This window comes from Homo sapiens, chromosome 2 (genome assembly GCF_000001405.40).
Source record: "Homo sapiens chromosome 2, GRCh38.p14 Primary Assembly".
Classification (NCBI taxonomy): Eukaryota; Metazoa; Chordata; class Mammalia; order Primates; family Hominidae; genus Homo; species Homo sapiens.
Genome location: NC_000002.12, coordinates 73,266,854 through 73,280,635, shown reverse-complemented (window position 1 = coordinate 73,280,635; position 13,782 = coordinate 73,266,854). Strand labels below are relative to the sequence as shown.

The 13,782-nt window shown below is 48.7% G+C and overlaps 1 protein-coding gene across 5 annotated transcripts in view, besides 3 other annotated features; it reads left to right on the top strand.

Moving 5' to 3' along the window:
• FBXO41 (F-box protein 41) overlaps positions 1–13,782 on the top strand; it is a 29,789-nt gene that overhangs the window by 3,843 nt on the left and 12,164 nt on the right. For 2 of the 5 annotated variants that reach the window (NM_001371389.2, XM_047443460.1), the window contains one exon: positions 10,868–11,910. In NM_001371389.2, the coding sequence (NP_001358318.1) occupies positions 11,006–11,910 (905 nt within the window). In that variant the 5' untranslated portion in view covers positions 10,868–11,005. Of the gene's footprint in view, positions 1–2,805; positions 2,950–7,506; positions 7,622–8,333; positions 8,450–9,125; positions 11,911–13,782 lie in introns of all 5 variants that reach the window. The other 3 variants (NM_001080410.4, XM_047443458.1, XM_047443459.1) reach the window with 3 other exon arrangements.
• Positions 10,435–11,378: an enhancer, noted in NCBI's record as "H3K4me1 hESC enhancer chr2:73496386-73497329 (GRCh37/hg19 assembly coordinates)". NCBI's record gives its function as "activates a minimal SCP1, AML or CMV promoter by ChIP-STARR-seq in naive H9 embryonic stem cells {active_cell/tissue: H9 hESC(naive)}" and the evidence as "EXISTENCE:reporter gene assay evidence [ECO:0000049][PMID:30033119]".
• Positions 10,931–10,990: a silencer, noted in NCBI's record as "silent region_11639". NCBI's record gives its function as "represses an Ori minimal core promoter by ATAC-STARR-seq in GM12878 lymphoblastoid cells {active_cell/tissue: GM12878}" and the evidence as "EXISTENCE:reporter gene assay evidence [ECO:0000049][PMID:35858748]".
• Positions 11,181–11,280: a silencer, noted in NCBI's record as "silent region_11638". NCBI's record gives its function as "represses an Ori minimal core promoter by ATAC-STARR-seq in GM12878 lymphoblastoid cells {active_cell/tissue: GM12878}" and the evidence as "EXISTENCE:reporter gene assay evidence [ECO:0000049][PMID:35858748]".

The following is a 13,782-nucleotide window of genomic DNA, read 5'->3' as shown; positions in this document are numbered from 1 at the left end:
GGCCTGCAGAATTCAGGCCCAGGAGTCCCAGGAAGAGGGACCAGCATGAGCCTAGACTTGGCATTTCCCCATGGAGCAAAATCTTGTAGGGCACCCTAAGAACACACATGGGAGAGAAGCAGAGACAAAAGCTAGAGTGGGCGGAGCTCAGGGATGGTTAGATTCCAGCCAGTCTTGAGGGTGGGCAAGCCTGGGTGGATGTCACCTCTCAGAAGATGGCCAGCCTTCTGAAATGTTTTTAGAATAAAAGTGACATGACTGGATCAATATATGCAGAAAACTTTGGAAGCTGTGAGAATTCAAAGCTGGGAGATTTATAGACTCCAGTTAGACAATATCAGTGGTCCAGATAGAAGGGGATATAGGTCTGAACTGGGGAAGTGGCTTTAGGAAAAGTAGACAAAATCAAATATTTAGAAGTTAGTGTGGACAAAAATCAGTGATTGATGAGATCTGAGGGGGACTGAGAATTCTGAGATGGCTTGCCAGGGTGGCGTTTTGGGGTTGAGGGGCGGGGGCAGGGGGGGTCGCTATCCAGGGTGCTGAGTATATAACATGGGTATTGGTTGAGATGGGAGCCATGAGAAAGAATGTTTGAAGGCGGGTGTTGGGGCATTGTGAGTTCAGTATTAGTCACGTTAAGCTTTGAGCCGCCAACATTGAAATAGCACCCTTTTCATCCTCTCCCTGTCTACTGGCTGCTTCTAAGAAGCATTTTTTAAAAAAGAATTGTTATACATTTCAGGTCTAAGGCATTGAATTATTCGTGCCTCGGGCCTGCGGAAGTGAAGATATACAGTAAAATTAGGTTAGCCTTAAGAAGCATTTAAATATGTTCAGGTCACTCCCATCTTAGAAACTGCTTCTGGATTCTCCCATGCTGCCTCCTCCTCTTCACAGTTGAGCTTCTTGTATTCACTCATTGTCTCCTCACGTCCTTACCTCACTCACTCCTCAGCCCACATCAGCCAGGCCCATCAAAGCAGCAGTCTTGAAAGTCCCCAGTGGGCCCTTCCCTCTTCTGCTCTTACTTGAGTTTTCAACATTATTTCCACTGTTGCTCACTCCTCTCCTGGACATCCTCTCTTCCCTAACATTCCTTGCCAGAACTCCCATTTCTGCTGCTGGTTCTTAGGAACCTCTTTGTTCTTCTGCCTCTCTGAGGGTCCATCTTTTCCCCCAGCTCCCCTCTCTCTGAGCCCTCTCCCTTGGACTTGCTCATTGATTAAATACTTTCCTTTTTACCCTTAAGTTGCCAAAACTGTATTTTTGGCTCCGTGTTGCAATTCATGTACTGAATATCTCTACTTCCACGGCCCACTGGAACCTCAACCTCATGGAATCCACAGCCAAAATTATCTCCCTTCAAAACTTGCCTTCCTCCATTTTTCCTCCTTACTGAGTCACATCCTCATCTCCCCAGTTGCTTAAGACCCAAACCCGAGCCTCATCCTTGAGTCCTCCCTTTCTTACCTGCCACAGTCATTCTGTCACCAGGCCTTCTTGACTCTCCTTCCTTAATTGCTCCCATATCCATCCTTCTCCCCATTTGCACTCCTGCTACCGTGGTTAATAGTTTCCACTTCCGGTGTTCCAACAACCTTCTTCCTGACCTTGGCTCTCTGTATTTTGTTCTCTAAACTGTAAATCTGATCAAGCCCTTGCCATTCATTCATTCTACAAACACTACCCCATGAGCACCTGCCCCATGCCAGGCACTGTTAGAAGTGTTGGAGAAACAGCAGTGATTGAGATATACAATGTCTCTATCCTCAAGGAGCTTACATTTTAGTTCCCTGAAGGAGGAATACTCTTTCTCACTTCCTTGCCCTTATACATGCTGTTTCATGTGCTCCGATTGTCTTTCTTCTCCTACCCCAACCTCATAATTGCTCTTCCTCACCTGGCAATTATATTTTGCTCTTCAAGAGTCAGCTTAGATGCCACCACCTCTGGGGGTTCCCCAGTCCCCCAATTCCTCAAGTTAAGTGTAGAATCCCGTGCCTGCCTCTTGCATAATGTTTATTTCATAATTGTATACTCTAACACCTCAGTCAGCCCTGGGAGACAACAAACTGTTTGCAGGCCAGGACTGGATCTTGTTTGTCTTTGTCCTCAACAAACCTAGCACAGCACCTGGTATAGCTCATGGCACAGGGTAGGTACTCAGTAAATAGATATAGAATAAATTCGTGTTTGAATAGAGCTTAGGAGAGAAATCTAGGCTAGAAATGCAGATTTGGGAGACTATTAGTTAGGACACTTGATTGCAAGGGACAGAAATTCAGCCTGAACTACTTTAAGTAAATTTACCAATTCATATAACTGGAAAGAAGGGAAATGAATGAGTCTTAGACACCTAGGTCCTCACAGATGTGGTGAGGACTTTACAGCTCTTGGCTCAGCTTTCCTCTGAGTATTGCCACCTTGTTCCCCACCATGCATGGGCTTTCTCCATGTGATGGGTGGAGGTTGCACAAGGCCATAGACAGCTTCACTGTCCTAGCATGGGATCCCAGAGGGACAAGAGGACTACTTTATCTTTCATATAAACTCCCAATAGAGGACTCTGTTGGCTCAGCTTGAGGAATGTGCTCAACCCTGGGTCAATCACTGTGGCCAAGAAGATAGAAATACTGTGATTAGCCAGGCCTGGGTCATGTGCCCACCTACTAGGATTGACAACCCGGCCACAACCACATAAAGTACAGAGGGGCAGCTCACTAAAGAAAGGATGAGATGTTGCTATTACCAAAAGGTGAAGAAGACTTGCTGAGCAGATGAAAATCGTAATGCCCACTGCAGGGACTATCAGTGACCACATGATGGTGGAAGCCATAGAAATGCAAGATGATCTGTGTTGCTGGCAAAGCCAATGTGTGAGAATGTGACAGGAAACAGGAGCTACAGAAGACACACATCTTAAGATGGTTGGTCTTGTTTGAAGAGGTAAGACTCACATACCTGTAAGCCTTAAAAAAAAAAAAAGTACCTCTGATTAGTTCAGCCTGTAGAATCCTTCTATCCAAAGAAAACCTTGATGAGGACTTGAAAGAGAGTAGGCTTGAGATAGGCATTTCAGATACGAGGAGCATCACAGGTCTGGAGGCAGGGCCAGGCCAAAAAAGGAGGCAAGTCTTAGGGCTGCAGAGGTTGCTGATTTGGGGACACAAGAATGCAAAGGAAAATCTTCAACTGTTCTGTCATGGTGCTCATAGTACAGACCTGTGATGAAATTTGAACAACACTTCTGTTTTCCTTTTTCCTGCTGTCCTACCTCCCCCTGCCTTTATTGCCCTCTTGCCTGCATTCAAGCAAAGCTTCAGGCTCACGCTTAGGAGGTGCATAAATCTAGACAAAAATTTTCCTAAGATTTATAGTCACTCCTCAGCTCCAGCAGATGGAGGGCAACTGTGGAGGAGGGCTGGCCTGGGGTGAAGAGGCACCTGGACCCCAGAAGTCCCTCTCCTCCTCCACCTTACACATCCATCCACAGGCTGATACCCCCAGACTTTCCCCTTCCCCTGCTGTCTGGCAGCCTGGCTAGCAGGATGCTGTGAGGCAAAAAGGGGCACTTCAAAAGTGTATGGTGAGAGAGGGCAGGGTGGGGAGAAGGCTGGCTACTTCTGGGGCCCTGAAAGATGCCCCCCACAGGAAGGACCAGCACTTAGTTAGGATGAACAGATACACACAGATACCCTGACACCAGGCTCACCATACATTATAGAATATCCTTGTTCTTGAACAGTTCTGTATGTGTGTGAACTCTAGAATATCTCTGGTCACTTTGCCAACTTCTTCAGTTTTGTCTATAGTTATTAGTCTATTCAAGTTTTCTATTTCTTCTTGAGTCAATTTTGATAATTTATATTTTCCTAGAAAAGCATTCAGTTTACCCAGATTTTCAAAAATTTTGGCCAAGAGTTGTACCTGGTAGTAATTTAAGAAAATCTTCTCTGTGCCAGCAGTTATCTTTTTTTTTCCCCCATGTGTTATATATAAATGCATTCTCTCCCTCTCTCCCTCTCTCCCTCTCTCTCTCTCTCTCTCTCTCTCTCTCTCTCTCTCTCTCTCTGAATAGATTTGCCAGAGAGCTGTTTATTTTGCTGGTCTTTTCAAAGAACCATGTTTTGGATTTACTTCTCAAGGCTACATTTTGGGTTTTAATATACCTAAAGGATGGTGATGTTGAAACAATTACTACACACCATTTTTTTTGTCTTTTTTTGAGATGGAGTTTTGCTCTTGTTGCCCAGGCTGGAGTGCAATGGCGGAATGGCTCATTGCAACCTCCACCTCCCGGGTTTAAGTGATTATGCTGCCTCAGCCTCCTGAGTAGCTGGGATTACAGCCACCTGCCACCATGCCCGTCTAATTTTTGTATTTTTAGTAGAGAGGGGGTTTCACCCTGTTGGCCAGGGTGGTCTCGAACTCCTGACCTCAGGTGATCCACCCACCTCGGCCTCCCAAAGGGCTGGGATTACAGACGTGAGCCACCACACCTAGCCTACTACATATCATTTTTTTAAAAAAAAAGAAAGTTAAATCTTGGCCAGGTGTGGTGGCTCACGCCTGTAATCCTAGCACTTTGGGAGGCAGAGGCAAGTGGATCACCTGAGGTCAAGAGTTCAAGACCAGCCTGGCCAACATGGTGAAACCCCCCTCTACTAAAAATACAAAAATTAGCTGGGCCTGGTGGCATACGCCTGTAATCCCAGCTACTCAGGAGGCTGAGGCGGGAGAATCACTTGAACCCAGGGCGTGGAGGTTGCAGTGAGCCAAGATTGCGCCACTTCACTCCAGCCTGAGAGACACAGCGAAACTCTGTCCAAAAGAAAAAAGAAAGTTAAGGCTTGTCTCACATATACTAAGGTATTTATGGATGAAATAATATGATATTTAGGATTTGCTCAAAATTATCCAATAGTGGGGACAGGGCAAGTGTGACGCAGGGAAGTAGTGTGCAGATGAAAAATAATTGGCCATGAGTTGAGAATTCTTGAAGCTGGATGATGGGTACCTAGGAGTTCATCATAATACTCTCTCTATTTTTGAACATGTGTGAAAATGTCTATAATGGAAAGTTGGTTTTTAAAAATTCCTATCACACCATGCACACCAAAAATTTCTAGCTGGGTTATAAAATGCAAATGGGCCAGGCGTGGTGGCTCACACTTGTAATCCCAGCACTTTGGCAGGCCAAGGTGGGCAGATCACCTGAGGTCAAGAGTTCAAGACCAGCCTGGCCAACATGGTGAAACGCTGTCTCTACTAAAAATACAAAAATTAGCCACGTGTGGTGGTGGGTGCTTGCAATCCCAGCTACTTGGGAGGCTGAGGCAGGAGAATCACTTGAACCCAGGAGGCGGAGGTTGCAGTGAGCCAAGATCGCCACACCACTGTACTCCAACCTGGGCGACAAAGTGAAACTCTGTCTTAAAAAAAAGGGCCGGGCGCGGTGGCTCATGCCTGTAATCCCAGCACTTTGGGAGGCTGAGGCAGGCAGATCACGAGGTCAGGAGATCGAGACCATCCTGGCTAACACAGTGAAACCCTGTCTCTACTAAAAATACAAAAAATTAGCCGGGCATGGTGGCAGGCGCCTGTAGTCCCAGCTACTCAGGAGGCTGAGGCAGGAGAATGGCGTGAACCCAGGAGGCAGAGATTGCAGTGACTGCAGTGAGCTGAGATCGCACCATTGTACTCCAGCCTGGGCGACAGAGCGATACTCCGTTTCCAAAAAAAAAAAGAAAAAAAAAATCCAAATGTAGGCCAGATGCAATGGTTCAGGCCTATAATCCCAGCACTTTGGGAGGTTGAGGTGGGTGGATCATTTGAGCCTAGCACTTTCTGACCGGCCTGGGCAACATAGTGAGACCCTGTTTCTAAAAACAAACAAACAAAAAAAAATCCAAAAGGAAAAAGGAAATCATACAGCCTAAAGTATTTAATACTACCAAGTCATTGTCAGTCTATGGTATTAGGGCTATTTGTTTAAAGCCCTTAATTCTAAAAAATATTCTGGAATTTTAAAAAAAGGAAATCACAAGTATCGAAAGAAAACATATGTAACTGTTTATAATCTCTGGGTAGGGAGAGATTTCCTAAGCATAATAACAAAATCCGATTTTACGGCGGCATAATTTAAAACTCTAGTATATCAATAAAGACCATAAACAAAAGTAAAAGCCAATCAACACACTTGAGAAAAATATTTGAGGTATATAAATGACACAGGATCAATAATATTAAAAGCTTTTGTAAATCGATAAGAAAATATGAATGTTCAGTATGAAAATGAGCAAAGTAGTGCACAGGCAAGTTACCAAAGAGATAGAAATGGCCAGTGTATGTGTGAAAAACTGTCCAGCCATCACAATCAAGGACATGCAAGTGAAACAGCCAGGCCACTTTCCAGTTTCAAATTGGCAAGAGCACAGGGGCCAGATCGTGAAGCTGAGGAGTTTGGCTGCAGTTGGTAGTGGATGGGGGTGCCCTTGAAGGAGTCTGAGCAGAGGAATCCGATGCCTTTACAGATGGAATGGAGCTGCGGGACTGAAGGCTGGGCCAGCAGTCTAGATGTGATGAGGTTGTGGCCTGGAAGAGTACAAAGCATGAGAAAAGAACAGTTGGGTTGAAAGCACTTGGAAGGAAAAACCAGTAGGTCTTGATGGTTAGCAGAGAGAAAAATCAAGATGGCCAGTGCTGTGGCTGGGAGGACAGTAACACCAAAGGAAACAGGGGTGCTGGGTAGTAGGTGAGGAGAAGTCTGGGATTTGTTTTTGACACTGTGGGCCATTGTGTTAGTCTGGAGTCTCATTACTAGAGACTGGCAACCGACCCAAATGATAAAAGCTACAAAAACATTTGCAGCCCTTCTCAATGGTCAAGTCCTGGGTTAGAGCTTCAGGCACATCTGGATGTGGATGCTCAAATATCATCAGGGGTCCTTTACTTTTGTCTCAAAGACAGGGCAAAAATGGCCACAAGAGGCTCCAGGCTCACAGCCTACCAACTGAGCACAGCTCCCGAAGTGACTGTATCGGCCCAGACTGAGAAATGAGTCCATTACTGACCTGACCACTGTGATTCTAATGGAACAGACTGAGGTCATGTGTGTTCCCTGGGAGCCAATGGAAGCTGTCAGCCCTACCCAAATCTATTCAAAGTGCAGGCAATGGTTCTCAAAGGGAAAATTGGGGATCAATTCACAATAAAGAGGGACTAGAGCCGGGCAGCAAAAACAATAAAAGTCCACTGTATTTCACTTCTTAGATGTCAAAGATCGACACAGACCCCCTTTACTGTGTAATTTTAAAAAATATTTTCCTGTTTATCATAATGCAACTATCCCTCACCAAACTTAAAGCACAGTTATCCCACTTCTGGGAGGAGACATTCCAAGTTTTCACCCAGTTACCACATCTATCCCCAATTCAACATCTTGGCAATGGCAAGGGGCTGTTTGTTTGGTTAGGTACTAAGGTCATGGTCTTTCCATTTAAGGCCCAACTACAATGATGGAGAGAAAACTGTATAGCTGGAAGAAGAAAAACCCTCCTAGTTGAAGAGGGGGGTGAGGAAAAAAACCTGGACCGTGGTCCACATGCTTGACTGAATGGTGAGGAAGAGGTTTCCTGGTACACCAATCTCACTGCTCTGATTTTGCTGTCTCTGTGAGAGGGGCATTGAAGGGTGCATGTTTGGGGAGGTTCAGGGCAACCATAGGGGCTGAGCAATCCTTTGGTTTGTGGGGGCTTTCTGGCAATACAATCCCCTTAATCCCTGGGAGGCTTTTCAGTCAGTTTGCATTTGGTTATCCCCAGAGCTATTAACCAAAGCTAGAGACCTCTATGAAAGTTATGGTTCTTGAATGAAGTCCCTGGTGGTGGTGTAGAAGGAGGGAGGGGTTATCTCTTAGCAACAGGCCTCAGTGTTCTGCCCATCCCAGGAGCCCTTGGTTCTGCAGCCTCTAACTGGGCCTCTGCCACAGGGCAAAGCAAACTCCAACTTTGGGGAGGGAGGCAAAAGGTCATCTGCCCCTTCTCACTGAAGCTGCATCCCAATGGAAGGCTGCTTATAATGGAAGCTTCTGTCCAGCTGGGAGGGCACAGCAGGAAGGGTTCAGCAGGGCCCAAGGAGTTGAGTACCTGTCAGGCCCCAGGCTTATCTCCCTCTTAGTTCCCAGCCTCTTTGTCTTCGCTTGAGCTGACTTTAGCTTGAAGCAAAGAACTGGCTCTTAATTATCTGACTCTCAGCCATATTGAATTACTGGCTGCAGGCAGAAAGGGCCTCTCTGGGCAAGCCCAAATTTTCTTCCTCTCTGCTTTCAGATGGGCTCCTTTCAACCAGAGTGTGTCTCTTGCTTGTTGGACCTTACTGAGGCCGTTGGAAAGACACTCCCAACATCCTGACATTTTTCTACAAATCCCCTAATGTTCCAGCCATGGTAGGTACATGGCCTGAGCTCCAGGGATGGTGGGAGACAGTTTAATCATCTGCTTTGCTGCTGCTCTGTTCACCAACCTGTGAGTGGGGAATGGGGGAAGTAGTGCCAGCTTATGTCCCCCTCCTTAGTTCAGCTAATTTCTTTTGTGGATCTATTAAAAATTTCCATCTCTGATTCTAATTTCTTGGTTAGGATATTTTCTGGGTGCAAGTAACACAGATCCAACTGTAACTAGCTTAAGCAAAAAAGGGAAATAGGGGCTAGGTGCAGTGGCTCACACCTGTAATCCCAACACTCAAAGGCTGAGGCAGGTGGATCACTTGAGGTCAGGAGTTTGAGAGTAGCCTGGCCACCATGGTGAAATCCTGTCTCTACTAAAAATACAACAATTAGCTGGGCGTGGTGGCACATGCCTGTAGTCCCAGCTACTCGGGAGGCTGAGGCAGGAGAATCGCTTGAACTTCAGAGGGGGAGGTTGTAGTGAGCCGAGACTGCACCACTGCACTCCAGCCCAGGTGAAAGAGTGAGACTCCATCTCAAAAAAAAGAAGTTGGGGGGGGGGGAGTGCAGAATTGATTGGCTTGTGTAACTGAACAGGCCAGGCTCTCAAACAGTGTCTGTGAGGAATGTGTTTCTCCATCTAAGTTTTGCTTCTTTGGGTTGGCTTCATTCCCAGGTGTCTCCTCCCAAAAGGAGAAAGGATGGCACCAGCAGCTCTGGCCTTCTCCATCAGCTTAGAAACCTGATCCCAAAGACAATGCTTTCCCTCAGTCATTCCAGAACAGTCCTGGGGCTCACTGGCTCAACTTTGGTGCTCTATGTTTACCCCACGACTGATTTGCCAGGTCTATGTCATATCCCCAAGACCATGTGGACTGAGAAAGTGGGGAAGGATGGTTCCCTATGGTCAAAGCAGGGTGCTGTTACCAGGAGGAGGACTGGATGCTGGGCTGGCAAAAGGAACAGACATCCACCCATACATCCTGTGGAAATGCCAGAAGGCAACACAACTATGCGGCAGGTCAGGATGGAGAAGTAGAGCTTACAGGTGCAAGTAAACCTGTGTGAGGGAAGCTGACTGCCTTCCTAGGGGGAGAATAGAGATGGAGGGCTCCAGAGGCAGACCTCAGGGAATGAGGACGTTTAGGAAGGCAGCAAGAACAGGAAGTTGCAGAACCCAGGGGAAAATCCAGACAGGAAAGCTCATGGCAGCTGTGAAGATGGAGGGGTCAACAGTATCGGCCATGGGACCAAGTAGGTGAAGACCCTTGATGACAACTGGCTTGTCTGATCAGCAGGTGGTCTGTGACCTTGATCACAGGGCAGTGGAAGCCCTATTGCAGGCAGTTAGGAAGAGGATGGCAGTGAGGAATGGGATGGAGACCCCACAAGGTAGGAGAAGAGTGACAAGAAGCCAGAGATGGAGGGGCAGCAGGAGTTGACAGTGAGGAGGGTTGGGATGCCAGAATTGGTGGGGGGATGGAGGGACCTTGTGCCAAAAGGGGTGTGGGGAGGATGGATAATAAAGCCCTTGGGGTAAAGGCAGGGCAGGGACACTTACTGGAAGCCTACCTCACCTTTTCTAGGTCTGAGAAAAAGACCTAAGGGCCTGGAGTAGTAGGGATAGGAGGATGTGGTGCAGAAGTCGGGACAGAACAAACAGCGACACATGCGATGTCATTAGGTAGAGTGATGTCTTGGTCACTGCAACATGGTACCAATAGTTCCAGCCTGTGTGGGGGTGCAGTCTGCAAAAAATGAAAATAAGCATGCATGTTCTTTCCAAGGATTTTTACACTCATTTTAAGTATACAGCTTGATGATTGTTTAAATATGTACACAACTGTATAACCACCACTCAAAGCAGATAGAGAACATTCTCCGCATCACATAAAGCTGCCTCCTGCCCCTTCCTAGTCCATGTAGCCCCCAGCTGGGGACCTCTATGCTGACTTCATCATCAATTGTGTCTGTTCTTGAACTCCATCTCTCTGGAATTCTACAGCATGCACTCTTTGGTCTGGCTTCTTTCATGCAACATAATATTGGATGGACTCATCCATGTCACTGTGTACCAATAGTTTCTTTTCTTATTGCTGGGTAGATTCCATCATGAATATGCTACAGTTTAACCGTTCTACCATTGATGGGCACTTGGGTCGTTTCCAGGTTGGAACCATTATAAATAAAAGTGATTACGCGCCTGCCCCTTTAAAAACAGATTATCTCATTCTCTCGCTGTCTCTTGCACACATACAGGCCCTCGCACAGGTGCCAGAGCAGGCCAGCCTCCTCTGGGAGGTCTCCCCTTGCCCCTCAATGCTGATTTCCTCATGGCTGGGGGATGAGGGCTCCGGGCTGGGAGCCAGGGTGGGAGCAGCGATACCCTCTTCCTAAGACTCATCGCGTCTCTTCCAGCCTCCTCGCCCCAGGCCGCGGGCGCCCTGAGCCTTCCTGACCCCGCAGGGGGCCTCGCCCGCGGTCCCCCATGAGCGCGCCCGGCTGACCGGCGGGGCGGCCGCGGTGGAGCCCGCGTGCCGCGGGGGCGGCGGGGCCATGGCCTCGCTGGACCTGCCGTACCGCTGCCCCCGCTGCGGGGAGCACAAGCGCTTCCGGAGCCTGTCGTCGCTGCGCGCGCACCTGGAGTACAGCCACACCTACGAGACGCTCTACATCCTCTCCAAGACCAACAGCATCTGCGACGGCGCCGCCGCCGCCGCGGCCGCCGCCGCCGCTGCCTCGGGGTTCCCGCTGGCTCCCGAGCCCGCCGCCCTGCTGGCCGTGCCCGGCGCCCGGCGAGAGGTCTTCGAGAGCACTTCCTTCCAGGGCAAGGAGCAGGCGGCCGGGCCGTCGCCCGCGGCGCCGCACCTGCTGCACCACCACCATCACCACGCTCCCCTCGCCCACTTCCCCGGCGACCTGGTGCCCGCTAGCCTGCCCTGTGAGGAGTTGGCCGAGCCGGGCCTTGTGCCCGCCGCAGCAGCGCGCTATGCGCTGCGCGAGATCGAGATCCCGCTGGGGGAGCTGTTCGCCCGCAAGTCCGTGGCGTCCTCGGCGTGCTCGACGCCGCCGCCTGGCCCCGGCCCCGGCCCTTGCCCCGGGCCTGCCTCCGCTTCGCCCGCGTCCCCCTCACCCGCTGATGTGGCCTACGAAGAGGGCCTGGCGCGCCTCAAGATCCGCGCGCTGGAGAAGCTGGAGGTGGACCGGCGGCTGGAGCGGCTGAGCGAGGAGGTGGAGCAGAAGATCGCGGGCCAGGTGGGCCGGCTGCAGGCCGAGCTGGAGCGCAAGGCGGCCGAACTGGAGACTGCGCGGCAGGAGAGTGCGAGGCTCGGGCGCGAGAAGGAGGAGCTGGAGGAGCGCGCGTCTGAGCTCTCCCGCCAGGTGGACGTGAGCGTAGAGCTGCTGGCCTCACTCAAGCAGGACCTGGTGCACAAGGAACAGGAGCTGAGCCGCAAGCAGCAGTGAGTAGACCCTCGGGGCCCTGTGAGTGGTTGTGCCTGTGCGGGTCACTGTGCCACCACCACCACCGTGGGCGTGCCTGAGTGTGTCTGTATGTGGCCATGGCTTTGTAATAGAGGATCCGTGGCCAGGAGCATGCATGTGGGGCCAAGAGTGTCATGATGATATGTGGTACTGTGAGGACATGGCAGTGTGACCCTGTGCCTCTTTGTGAAGTCTGCCTTTCTCGTTCTCTGTCCTAGACAAGCCAACCCCTGCATTTTGGCACCAGATCCTCTTCTCTTTTGCCTAGCCAAAGATATAGCTCAACTCTCCCCTCTCCTTTTCCATCACCCGATTTTTTGTTTCTGCATATTTCTAAAAGCATACAGACATGTCATTTCTCCCATCTGCCATAACCCCCTTCCCCTTAAGCTACTGCCCCTTTTCTCTCCTCCTTACAGAAAACTCCTTGTATTTGTTTATACTTCTTGTCTCCAATTTCTTTCCTCACTTTCTCTCTTGAACCCAGGCTGATCGGGTTTCCACCTCTACCAGGGTCCCCATGTCACCAGCGACCTTCCTGTTGCTAAGGCCTAGCCATCGTCTTACTTGGCCCATTGGTGGCATTTGACATAGCTGATCCCTGACATGCCTTCTTCACTTGGCTTCCGGGACACTCTTGGGATTTCCTTCTATCTGTCTCAATCTTCTTCATTTCTCTGGTCTTTAAATGTAGGATTATGAACTACAGATGGCCCCTGACTTACAATGGTTTGACACAATTTTTTGATTTTCCGATGCTACAAAAGCATCATGCAGTCAGTAGAAACTGTACTGTATGAAAATGAAAAACAGTATGTACAACCATACTGTTTTTTTCAGTACAGTATTCAACAAATTACATGAGATCAACACTTTTTTTTATAAAATAGACTTTGTGTTGAGTGACTTTGTCCAACTGTAGGCTAATATAAGTGCTCTGAGCACATTTAAGGCAAGCCAGGCTAAGCACTGATGTTCAGTAGGTTAAGTGCATTAAATGCATTTTTGACTGATGATATTTTCAACTTACAATGGGATGAGGGGGATGTATCCCCATTGTAAGCCAAGGAGCATTTGTATATAGATGTTATTTATGTGTCCCCATTGTCATATAAACTCCATAAAGACAGGAGTTGTTCACTGCTATTTCCCCAATACCTAGAACAGTGCCTGGCACCTAGAGGGTGTTCAATAAATGTTGAATGGATGCACAAACAACCGGGAATGCATTTGGGAGTAAGTATGCATGTGATTCTAAGTGTGCCATGTGTTCACGCAGCTCCTACAAGTTGGTGCAAACTATCAGTATGCTTCCACATTTGAGTGTATTCCTCTGTGGGTTGATGTGACTTAGTGTGTATTTTTGAAGGTTCCTGCAAGTATGTTTGACTGTGTCGGTGGTACTGTGCCTCAATGGTTCTTTGCGTGTCTCACACGTAAGCACATGCCCAAGCTGGAACATGATGTGACTACACAAACATGAATGTGTGAGGCTGTGCCTGGGGCTGTGTAATGAGCCTCTGTGTGGGGATATGTGACATGGCTGGTGGCTCTAAGTGTGTGCCTAGGAGTGTTCTGTGTTGGGATGCTGGGTATCGAAGGACATGCACATGTGACTGAACATGTCTGTGTTTCTGTATGAGAGAGATGTGTCTGGTTATGGCATATGGATGTACATGGGGTACATGTGTGTGGGGATGTATGTATGCCTGGGGTTGTGTGGGACTGAGTATGCCTGATTATTTCTGTGGAGAGCAGGGTGTGCAGTATTTCTGTGGAGAGCAGGGTCTGGGGCCAGGTGGGTGGGGTGTGAGTGTGTGGCTCGGAGTGCATGCATGCATTTCTGTATG